The 12,995-nt window shown below is 41.8% G+C and overlaps 1 protein-coding gene across 3 annotated transcripts in view; it reads right to left on the bottom strand.

Moving 5' to 3' along the window:
• KDM2A (lysine demethylase 2A) overlaps nucleotides 1–12,995 on the bottom strand; it is a 138,820-nt gene that overhangs the window by 95,288 nt on the left and 30,537 nt on the right. The gene's annotated exons all lie outside the window — the stretch shown is intronic.

The raw sequence follows: 12,995 nt of genomic DNA, 5'->3' as shown, positions 1-12,995 counted from the left end.
TTCCAGTGAACAATGATCACACCACTGCACTCTAGCCTGGGCAAAAGAGCAAGACCTTGTCTAGGAAAAAAATAAAACTAAAAATCGCAGGCCGGGCGCGGTGGCTCATGCCTGTAATCCCAGCACTTTGGGAGGCCGAGGCGGGCGGATCACTTGAGGTCAGGAGTTCGAGACCAGTCTGGCCAACATAGTGAAACCCCATCTCTACTAAAAATACAAAAGTTAGCTGGGTGTGGTGGCGCATGCCTATAAATGCCAGCTACTTGGGAGGCTGAGGCAGAAGAATCACTTGAACCCAGGAGATGAAGGTTGCAGTGAGCTGAGGTCACGCCACTGCACTCCAGCCTGGGTGACAGAACGAGACTCTGTCTCAAAAAATATATACAAATAAAATAAAATAAAAATCATATCTACTTTCCTGTGTTGCTGTAAATCTCAGTGGGTGCTTCAGGAGAAGTGAGCATTATATATTTACAGGCAATAAGAATTAAATGAACTTTACCTGACCTTATTTGGCACTTATTGCTATGATTTTCTTGTATTATTGGGATGTAAGAAGAGAAACTCTGGTGAAAAATATGCCACCTACACTAGAATTTCATACAGCCAAGAGAAACAGAAGATTTACCAAATAAACCAAAATGATTTAATAAACTATAATTTATCCATCATTATATTTCTTAGGGAGCCTATTCATTAGTGGAAGGAAATTCCTGAGAGGCAAAGTAAAGAATCAGAACAGTAGTCCAGAACAATTCACTGTACTACAGTGAGGTACAGATTAGGCAGATATAACCAAAGACAACTACTAAGAGCATAATATAAATACTGAAAACTGAGTTGAATCTCTGAAAAAGCATCTATTTATATATTAAACCTACTACCTTAGGAAACTCTAGAAAATAAAGAATATACAAATATACATTCCCTTAGTCCTGAGAGCATTATCATCACACATGATATAGTTCTAGAAACCTCTACTATACTTCTGGAAAGTCTACACTTATTAGAGAATGAGAGCAAAAAAGACAAATAATAGTACTGTTATGAAAATAGTTTTGACTTCACAAACCCCTAATAAAAGAATCCTTGTGTATATCCCCAGACCACATGTTGAGAACCACTTTTCCAGATCATCTTAAAGCATGAGTCACAAAAATCAATTTAGGTCACAACAGTGTGTATTTTTTAAATGAAATTTGAGTAAATCAGAAAACACACTATGAGTAAATACCACTTCCTGAAACATGTTAGTTACATATATCCATGCATATAATAGTAATACGTAGTAATATAAAATGTATTTCCTGCTACAGGTCAGTTAAAAACTGTGCAAAACACTGTACTACAACATACTAATTTTCCTAATCTACTGTCTAAGCAAAAGCTTGCACATAACCTATGATCTGTAGACTGAAAACTAAACATTTGTGATACACTAGATACTCTCCAAAGTGAAGACAATTCAAAGGTTTCACGTGGATACAATTTCTATAGATTGAAAAAGTCACAGTTTACCATGATCATGCTGTCATCACAGCCATCACTAAAGTCTTGTTTTTCTTTTGTTTTTGGTTTCAATTTAAAAAAATTTTTAATAGAGACAGGATCACACTGCGTTCTCAAGTTAGTCTCAAACTCCTAGCCTCAAGCAATCCTCCCAACTTGGCCTCCCAAAGTGTGGGGAATACAGGTGTGAATTACTGTGCCTGGCCACTAGTCCACCTTGTCCACAGTTAACTCAGGCAAAAAGGAAAGGAAAGAGAAGTCCAAGCTCCGTCAGCCACAAATAAAGGCGTTCTTTCCTTCCATCTAATTTGCTATTTTTTGTTCATTAATTATTTATTTATTTTTAGAGACAGGCTCTGGCTGTTTCTCACATTGGACTTGAACTCCTGGGCTCAAGCAATTCTCCTGCCTCAGCTTCCCAAGTAGCTGGGTCTACAGGCACATGCCTCAGTGCCCCGCTAGCTCTTGTTATTAATGAGAAGGTCTATCTCATTTTTTTTTTGTTGTTTTTTTTGAGATGGAGTTTCACTCTTTTTGCCCAGGCTGGCGTGCAATGGCACTATCTTGGCTCACTGCAACCTCTGCCTTCCAGGTTCAAGTGATTCTCCTGCCTCAGCCTCCTGAGTAGTTGAGATTATAGGTATGCGCCACTACACCCAGCTAATTTTGTATTTTTAGTAGAGACGGAGTTTCACCATGTTGGCCGGGCTGGTCTCAAACTCCTGACCTCAGATGATCCACCCACCTTGGCCTCCCAAAGTGCTGGGATTACAGGTGTGAACATCGCACCCGGCCCAGAAGATCTATTTCTTAAATGAAGGGCTTCCTCCCTAACAAACTGGTCACAAAATCACTTTCCTGCTGGCATTAAGGTTACTGCTCTCATCCTGAACCCAGGATTTACTAGGTCAAAGCAGCATTCAGACAATGGTTCAAGCTATAATCTCTTCCTAAACCGGCAAAGGCAGGCCAGCATCTGGTGAACTGCAACAAATGGCAACAGCATACCCAGAGACATCAATAATGATCCCTCGAGGCTACAAAGACAAACTCTACTGATGGCAATTGCTAAAATACAACATCACTGCCTGTTCCTAACAGAACTGAACTATAGAATTTTATTTCAGGAAGAGTTTTTCTCCCAATTAGTCCTAATAGACCAACAGGAAGCCTGATAAAAATTATCAGGGAAGAGGCAGTGAGGCAGGGCTAAATTCAGTGGTATGCCATCACAGTGACATATACTTTCATGTGTGTGGTAATATACACATAAAGTTTACCATTTTAGCTGAATTTGTGTATAGTTCAGCAGCATTAAATATGTTCATATTGTTATGCAATCAATACCACTATCCATCTCCCGAATTTTTTCATCATCTCATACTACAACTCTGTATTCACTGGCATATACCTTTTCATGGATTCTATTTTTCTGATATGAACATATCCTAAACTGCAAATGTTCCCTGCTGCAAAAACAGATCCATTCCCACTATTGTCTTCAAACTCTGGAGGGAAAAAGGTAAGGTATGTGAGAGTAGAAATCTCTTTTTCACCACTGTCTTCCCAGTACCTATCAAATGCCTGACAAATATTGAGTCAAATATTTCTGTGTTCATGGCCAAAGAATCACCCCACAGATTATTTACTAGTTGCAAATGGCAAAATGTACCATTACAATGGGAAAATCTGCAGGTTACCACCTTAATCAATTTTTACCATCACTACCAGCAGGACAATCAATCCATCATTGTGTATCTCCTGACCTGATACAATTTGAAGTGCTCAATCATCTGGGAAACATTCTTGCCAAAATGTTTAAGATGAATCTAATCTTCTAGATCCAACTTCCAGTTTACAAATAATGTAGCTTAGGAAAACAAATTAATCTATACAATGAGAAAACAGACAACCCAGAAAGGAGGACATTTTAAAAGACAGTATCACTCATGTAACTACAGATAATTATCTTTGACACAGGACCAAAGGTAACTCGGATGTAGAAAGGTAGTCTTCTCAACAAATGGTGCTGCAACAACTGAACATCCACAAGCAAAATAACTAAATAAATCTAAACACTAACTTTATGCCTTTCAGAAAAATTAACTCAAAAAAGATCATAGGCCTAAATGAAAATCACACAACTATAAAACTTCTAAAAGATAAGAGGAGAAAGCCTAAGTGGCCTTGGCTTTGGTAATGGGTTTTTAGACGCAACACCAAAAGCATGATCCATGAAAAAAATAATTAATAAACTGGATTTCAATGAAACTGAAAACTTCTGCTCTGTGAAAGACACTGTCAAAGGAATGAAAAGACAAGCCACTCACTGGGAGAAATGCGCAAAACACATATTTTATATAAAGACTTAATACTCAAAATTTACAATCAACTTTTAAAACATCACAATAAAAAAACCAGCACAATAAAACAGTAAGCAAAAGATCTAAACAGAGAAGATATACAGATGACAAATAAGCATATGAAAAGATGCTCAGGCTGGGGGCGGTGGTTCACGCCTATAATACGAGCACTTTGGGCATGTAAGGTAGAAGGATCACTTGAGTTCAAGACCAGCCCGGGTAACATAGTGAGACACCATCTCTATTTCAAAAAAAGAAAAAAGAAAAGATGCTGAACATTGTACATCATTAGGGAGTTGCAAGTTAAAACTATGAGATACCACTACACAACGGTCAAAATTGAAAATACAACACCAAATGCTGGCAAGGAGGTAAAGCAACAAGAACTCTCATTCACTGCTGGTCAGAATACAAAATAGTACAGCTACTTTGGAAAACAGCTTGGCAGCTTCTTACAAAACTAAACACTCTTACCATAAAATGTGCTGACTCAATGAATTGAAAACTCATGTCCACACAAAAACCTACACATAAATATTCAGAGCGGCTTTATACATAATTGCCAAAACCTGGAAGCAATCAAGATGTCCTTCAATAGGTAAATGAATAAATGAACTATGAAACATCCATACAATGCAATATTCAACAATACAAAGAAATGAGATATGTAGCCACAAAGAGACATGGAGGAACCATAAATGCATACTGCTAACCAGTCTGAAAAAGCTGTATGATTCCAACTATACGACATTTTAGAAAGGGCAAAACTACAGACAGCAAAAAGATCCGTAGTTGCTGGTGTATGGGGGAGAGGAAAGGGGATGAATAAGTGGTGCACAGTAGATTTTTAAGGCAGTGAAACTATTCTATATGATACTGTAATGGTGGATAATTTGTCAAAACTCAGAACTGTACAACACAAACAGGGAAACCTAATTTAAACTATAAACATGAGGTTACAGTTATAGTTAAATAACAATGTATCTCTCTCTTTCTTTTGCGATGGGGTCTCACTATGTTGCCCAGGCTAGACTCCAATTCCTGAGCTCAAGTGAGCCCCACCTGGAGTAGCTGAGACTACAGGTACCCACACCCAGCTTATAATAATGAATCATTATTGGTTCATCAGTTGTAACAAATGTACAACACTAATGCAAGTTTTTTTTTTTTTTTTTTGGAGACGGAGTCTTGCTTTTGTCGCCCAGGCTGGAGTGCAGTGGCGCCATCTCAGCTCACTGCAAACCCCACCTCCCCAGTTCCAGCGATCCTTGTGCCTCAGCCTCCCGAGTAGCTGGGATTTCAGGCGCGTGCCACTGTGTCTGGCTAATTTTTGTATTTTTAGTAGAGACGGGGTTTCACCATGTTGGCCAGGCTGGTCTTGAACCCCTGACCTCAGGTGATCCGCCCCCCTCGGCCTCCCAAAGTGCTAGGATTACAAGCGTGAGCCACTGCACCCGGCCACAAGATGTTAATAAGAGAAACCAGGAATTTTTTTGCTTTTAAAAAATAAAGTTTACTACTTAAAAAGTCAATCACACACACTCACACACGAAAGACTATTCAAAATTTGCCAACTGTGTGGTGTTTTTTGTTTTTTTTTTTTTTGAGACGGGAGTCTTGCTCTGTCGCCCAGGCTGGATGGAGTGCAGTGGCGCGATTTTGGCTCACTGCCAGCTCCGCCTCCCGGGTTCATGCCATTCTCCTGCCTCAGCCTCCTGAGTAGCTGGGACTACAGGCACCCACCACCACACCCGGCTAATTTTTTGTATTTTTAGTAGAGACGGGGTTTCACCGTGTTAGCCAGGATGGTCTCTATCTCCTGACCTCGTGATCGGCCCTTCTCGGCCTCCCAAAGTGCTGGGATTACAGGCGTGAGCCACCGTGCCCAGCCAATTAGCCAGCTTTTAATGAAAGGGGCCAGAGGGTAAATATTTTAAATTTTGTGGGCCATACAGCCTCTACCACAACATGTTAAATGAATGAGCACGAGTTTATTTGTGGGCACTGAAGCTCCTATTTCATATTTTCTTTTTGAGAGAGTCTCACCCTGTCAGCAGGCTGGATGAAGTGCAGTGGCGCGATCTCGGCTCACTGCAACCTCCGACTCTCAGGTTCAAGCGATTCTCCTGACTCAGCCTCCTCAGTAGCTGGGATTACAGGCACATGCCACCATGCCCAGCTAATTTTTTTTTTTTTTTTTTTTTGAGATGGAGTCTCGCTCTGTTGCCCAGGCTGGAGTGCAGAGGCGCCATCTCGGCTCACTGCAAGCTCAGCCTCCCGGGTTCACGCCATTCTCCTGCCTCAGCCTCCTGAGTAGCTGGGACTACAGGCGCCTACCACCACGCCCGGCTAATTTTCTGTATTTTTCTAGTAGAGACGGGGTTTCACTGTGTTAGCCAGGATGGTCTCGATCTCCTGACCTCGTGATCCGCCCACCTCGCCTCCCAAAGTGCTGGGATTACAGCCGAGAGCCACCGCGCCTGGCCTAATTTTTGTATTTTTAGTAGAGACAGGGTTTCACCATGTTGGCCAGGATGGTCTTGATCTCCTGACCTCATGATCCACCTGCCTCAGCCTCCCAAAGTGTTGGGATTACAGGCGTGAGCCACTGCGCCCAGCCAATACTTTCATATGTTATAAAATATTATCCTCCTTGTGATTTTTTTTTTTTTTTGAGACGGAGTTTTGCTTTTGTTGCCCAAGCTGGAGTGCAATGGCATGATCTCAGCTCACCACAACCTCCACCTCCTGGGTTCAAGTGATTCTTCTGCCTCAGCCTCCCAAGTAGCTGAGATTACAGGCATGTGCCACCACGCACAGCTATTTTGTATTTTTAGTAGAGACGGGGTTTCTCCACATTGGTCAGGCTGGTCTCTAACTCCTGACTTCAGGTGATCCGTCTGCCCTCAGCCTCCCAAAGTGCTGGGATTACAGGCGTGAGCCCTGCGCCCCGCCCTTCCTGTGATTTTTTTTTTTTTTTTTTTTAGCCGTTTAAAAAATAAAAACCGGCCAGGCGCAGTGGCTCACACCTGTAATCCCAGCACTTTGGGAGGCCGAGGCAGGCGGATCACCTGAGGTCGGGAGTTCCAAACCAGCCTGACCAACATGGAGAAACCCCGTCTATACTAAAAATACAAAATTAGCTGGGTATGGTGGCACATGCCTGTAATCACAGCTACTTAGGAGGCTGAGGCAGGAGAATTGCTTGAACCCGGGAGACAGAGGTTGCAGTGAGCCAAGATCAAGCCATTGCACTCCAGCCTGGGCAACAACAACAAAACTCCGTTTCAAAAAATAAATAAAAATAAAAATAAAAACCAAGCCAGTGCAGTGGCTCACTCCTGTAATCCCAGCAACCTGAGAGGCTGAGGCAGGAGGGTCATTTTAGGCCAAGAGTTCGAAACCAGCTTGGGCAACACAGCAAGACCTTGCCTCCAAAACAATTTAAAACTTAGCCAAGGTGGTACCTGCCTACAGCCCCAGATACGCAGGAGGCTGAGACAGGATAATCGCTTGAGCCTAGGAGTATGACGCTGCAATGAACCATGATCAGTCCACTGCTTGCACTCCAGCCTGGGCAACAGGGTGAGACTCTGACTCTTAAAACAATAATAAATGTATAAACTGCTAGGCTGGGGCGCAGTGGCTTATGCCTGTAGCAGGCAGACTGCTTGAGGTCAGGAGTTCGAGACCAGCCTGGCCAACATAGCAAAACCCCATCTCTACAAAACATACAAAAAATTAGCTGGGTGTGGTGGCAGGCACCTGCAACCCCAGCTACTCAGGAGGCTGAGGCATGAGAACTGCATGAGCCTGGGAGGCAGAGGTTGCAGTGAGCCAAGATGGCACCACTGCACTCCAACCTGAGTGACAGACTGAGACTGTCTCAAAACAAACAAAAAACAAAAGAACTAAAAACAAGTATTCAAATATTTACACACAAATGCTGATAGCAGCACTATTCACAGTAGCTAAAAGGTAGAAACAACCCAAATGTCCATCAGTGGCTGAATGAATAAGCAAAATGTGGTATATCCATACAACGGAATATTATTCAGCCATAAAAAGAAATAAGATGCTGATACATGCCAAAACACAGATGAACCTCGAACATATGCTAAGTGAAAGCCAGACACAAAAGGTCATACAGTATATTGTATGATTCCATTTACATGAAACACCCAGGCTGGGCATGGTGGTTCATGCCTGTAATCCCAACACTTTGGGAGGCCAAGGCAGGTGGATCACCTGAGGCCAAGAGTTCGAGACTAGCCTGGCCAACATGGCAAAACCCCATCTCTACCTAAAAAAAAAAAAGAAAAAATTAGCCAGGTGTGTGACAGGTGCCTATAATCCCAGCTACTCAGGAGGCTGAGGCAGGAGAATCGCCTGAACCCAGGAGGCAGAGGCTGCAGTGAGCTGAAATCACGCCATTGCGCTCCAGCCTAGGCAACAAGAGTGAAACTCTGTCTTAAAAAAGAAAGAAAGAAAGAAAGAAACACCCAGAATAGGTAAATCCATAGAGACAGAAAGCCAGAGGTGATGATTGCAAAACATTTTGAATATACTAAATACCACTGAATTGTGCACTTCTAAATGATCAATGGTTAATTTTCTGTTACACAAATTTTACCTCAATTTAAAACAATTATATATTAAAAGACGTAAAAACCATTCTTATTGGATGGGCTGTACAAAATCAAATGACGAGCCAGATTTGGTACATGGGTTGTAGTTCACCTCTATTCTATTAATACACTGAGTGACTAAAGAGTCAACAGTCAAATATAATGCATAAACGTGGACTGAAGTCAAGTGAGAGCTATAAAATTTTATTTAGGACATTGGAAAATTCTAAATATTAGACATTATGGAATTTGAATTTTCTTCAGTATAACCGTAAATCTGTGGTAAGATCATGTTCTTATTCTTAGGAGAGGCAGCTAAAACATTTAGGAATAATGTGTCATGATGTATGCAAATTACTTTCAAATAACTCAGCCAAAAACAACAGAAAATTTTAAATGTGACAATTAAAAATAAAAAAAGGGGATTATCAGTGCAAGATATACACAGTTGGTTGTTTTTGGTGTTTTTTTTTTTTTTTTTGAGACAGGGTCTCACTGTTACTCAAGGCTGGAATGCAGTGATGTGATTATTGCTCACTACAGCCTTGAACTCCTGGGCTCAAGCAATCCTCCCACCTCAGCCTCCTGAGTAGCTGGGACTACCTCACCACCACGCCTGGTTTATCCGTAAACATTTTTGTAGACATTGGGTCTTACTATGTTGCCCAGGTTGGTCTGAAATAATCCTTCCGAAGTGCTGGGATTATGAACATGAGACCCTGCACCACATCCAGATGTTCTTTACGCTATTCTTTCAACTTTTCTGTGTTTGAGCTTTTTCAAAATAAAAAGGGTTTGGGGAAAATGTATTGCATGAATCCAGAAAATGGCTCTAGATAGCTGAATACAAAGTTTGATGACACATTAAACCAAATTTCCCTCATTCTTTGGGAGCCAGGGTGTCTAAAAACTGGGTTGAGGAATACACCTGGTTCCAGGACCTTTTCTTGGACAGAAAAGCATCACCTTTCCAATTACACGTCCTTGTAAACATGCATATTAAGACACACCAGCCGGGTGCAGTGGCTCACACCTGTAATCCCAGCACTTGGGAGGCCGAGGCGGGTCGATCACCCAATGTCAGGAATTCGAGACCAGCCTGACCAACATAGTGAAACCCTGCCTCTATTAAAAATACAAAAATTAGCTGGGCGTGGTGGCACATGCCTGCAATCCCAGCTACTTGGGAGAATATGGCAGGAGAATGGTTTGAACCCAGGAGGCAGACGTTGCAGTGAGCTGAGATCGTGCCATTTCACTCTAGCCTGGGCAGAAAGAGTGAAACGCAGTCTCCAAAAAAAAAAAGACATACCATGAACACTATAAGAGGAATTCCTGAAAACACACACACACACACACACACACACACACACACACACACACACACACTCTGGCACTGTAATCCTATAGTCTCACTGATATATAAAATTAAAAATGCTTTTGTTTTGCTAGCAAAAAAAAAATCTGATTCTACAAAAGTTAAATAACTTAAATATTCTTACTGAACTGAAATCATTAAACATCTGCTATGGAATGATCCATATGAAATTCTACAGCAAGATAAAAGAAGTACTTATCCCTGGTATGGGTTGTTCCAGGCCAGTGGAGCTCAAAAGAAACAAAATGTAAGCTACATATGTAATTTAAATTTTTCCGGTAGCCAATTTTTAAGGGATTTTTTTTTTTTGTAACAGGGTCTTACTCTGTCACTGAAGCTAGAGTGCAGTGGCATGATCACAGATCACTGCAGCCTTGACCTCCCAGGCTCAAGCGATCCTCCCACCTCGGCCTCCCAAGTAGCAAGGACTACAGATGTGCACCACCATGCCCAGCTAATTTTTATTTTATTTTTTGTAGAGATGAGGTCTCTTGCTCTGTTGTCCAGGCTGGTCTCAAACGACCCTCCAACCTCAGCCTCGCAAAATACTTGGAATAACAAGTGTGAGCCACTGCACCCAACCCAGGGAAATTAATTTTTTGTTGAGACAGGGTCTCACTCCATCACCCAGGCTGGAGTGCAGTGGTGCAATCTCGGCTCACTGCAACCTCCGCCTCCTGGGCTCAAGTGATCCTCCCACCTCAGCCTCCCAAGTAGCTGGAAGCACAGGTGCACACCACCACGCCTGGCTTTTTGGTATTTTTAATAGACACAGGGTTTCACTATGTTGACCAGGCGGTTCTTCAACTCCTGGGCTCAAGTGATCTGCCTGCCTCGGCCTCCCAAGATGCTGGTGTAACAGGTGTGAGCCACTGCACCCGGCGGGAAATTAATTTTAATAATATATTTTATTTAACCCAGTAAATCACTTCAAATGTAATCAATAATGCCATTTCAGGCCAGGGCAATGTAACAAAACCTTGCCTCTACCAAAAATTAAAAAAATTAGCCCGGTGTGGTGGTACATGCCTATAGTCCTAGCTACGCAGGAGGTTGAGGTAAGAGAATTGCTTAAGCCCAGGAGTTCAAGGCTATAGTAAGCTAGATAAAGCCATACTACACTCCAGTCTGGGTAAGAGTGAAACCCTGTCTCTATAAAAATAAAAAAATAAGAAATAATAATAATACCATTCCAATATATCGTCAATGTAAAAAATTATGGGGCTATTTTAATCCTTTTTTCATACCAAGTCTTCAGGATTTGAGGCCGGGTCCAGTGGCTTATACCTGTTAATCCCAGCACTTTGGGAGGTGGAGGTGGGCAGATCACCTGAGGTCAGGAGTTCAAGACCAGCCTGGCCAACATGGTGAAACCCCGGTCTCTACTAAAAATACAAAAAATTAGCCAGGCATTATGGCAGACACCTGTAACCCCACTTATTCGGGAGGCGGAAGGTGCAGCGAGCAGAGATGGCACCATTGCACTCCAGCCTGGGCAACAAGAGTGAAACTCTGTCTCAAAATAAAATAATAAAATTAAATTTAAAAATAAAATAAAATAATAAATAAAATATGTGGTGTGTATAGTTTACACCAACATCTTAATTCATAGTAGCCACATTTCACATGCTCCCTAGCAACCTGTGGCTAGTGGCTACCATAGCGTACAACACAACTCTAGGCTGTTGGAAGCAGCAGCAGAACCAAAGCTGAAAAAATCAGCCACCAAGAGAGTGATTCAATATATGTATGTGTATCTCCTAAAGCAACGTATGCTGAAACAGTTCTGTATTTTCAGCATAATTGGTCAAACATACAGTTACCAAGGTATAACTTACAAACTAAACTGAACCCCTGCTTCTACTATCCACCATGATATCCTCCAAGCAAAGGAGAATATCACATCTCTACTGCATGCAAGGGGGGTTTACTACATACTCCCTCCCACTCACACTGTGTATGGGAGTATTGTCCTTTGGCCTTCAACACTAGGTTTAGACTGAAGACTAGGATGAAAGAAGAGGTGAATGCTATGCTCCATTCTCCACCCCACCCCCACCTCCAAAATGTTTAGAATTAACACCATTTACCTTGGCATTTTAATTTTATTTTTGTAGAGATGGGGTCTTGCTCTGTTGCCCAGGCTGGTCTCACACTACTAGACTCAAGTGATCTTTCACCTTGTCTGCTGACCCTCTCTCCCACAGTTTTCTCCAACTCACCTCTAATTCCCCAGAGAAGAGAGATCATGTCTGACATATCCTCCAACTCTTAGATCCCTCCTCTCAAAGGATTAGTAACTATGGCCAGCCCTTTCCTCTTGATATTCCCTTATTTAAACAAGTGGTTTCCAGAGAACTAACATCATTTCAAAATCAATCTCCTTCCCTAATTGGCCTGGAATCCACTTTCCAATGTGTACTAATAGTAAACAAACAAAAACCAAAAATACTATAGATTACTACAAAAATAATTTAAATACACTTGAGAATCAATGATATGCAGAAAGCAGTTTCAATTACTCTTCTCTTCCCCCAACCTCTCCTTTGGCCCAACAAGGTGGTGGTAAATTTTTCACATTTTTGAGAAAAGAAAACATCATTTTTTACTTGTCAGACTAACAAATAATACCTGTGGCCCTTAGTTGTAAAATTTGAGGTAAACTGAGAGGCAGTGAATTTCTTAAGTTCTGATCTATTTATCGGCTAGAAAAACAAATGCATATTTCCGGGCTAAACAGCTGTAGCTGTTTCTTACTTTTTAGTTTCTTCCCTTTAATTAAACTTGTCTAGGGTTGTAAAGAATTCTGTAATTTCGTGTAAGATCTGTCATTACACAACGAATTGTTGAATTTTGCTATCTTTTGTTTACTGAGTATCTAAAATACAGATTCTAGGCCATGCGCAGTGGCTCACGCCTGTAATCCCAGCACTTTGGGAGGCTGAGGAGGGCAGGTCACCTGAGGTCGGGAGTTCAAGACCTGCCTGGCCAACATGGTGAAACCCCGCTCTTCTACTAAAAATACAAAATTAGCTGGGACTGGTGGCGCATGCCTGTAATCCCAGCTACTTGGGTGGCTGAGGCAGGAGAATCACTTGAACCTGGGAGGCCGAGGTT

The sequence above is a fragment of the Homo sapiens genome, chromosome 11 (genome assembly GCF_000001405.40).
Source record: "Homo sapiens chromosome 11, GRCh38.p14 Primary Assembly".
Classification (NCBI taxonomy): domain Eukaryota; kingdom Metazoa; phylum Chordata; class Mammalia; order Primates; family Hominidae; genus Homo; species Homo sapiens.
Note: the sequence above shows the minus strand (reverse complement) of the source record. Positions and strands in the feature narration are given on the sequence as shown.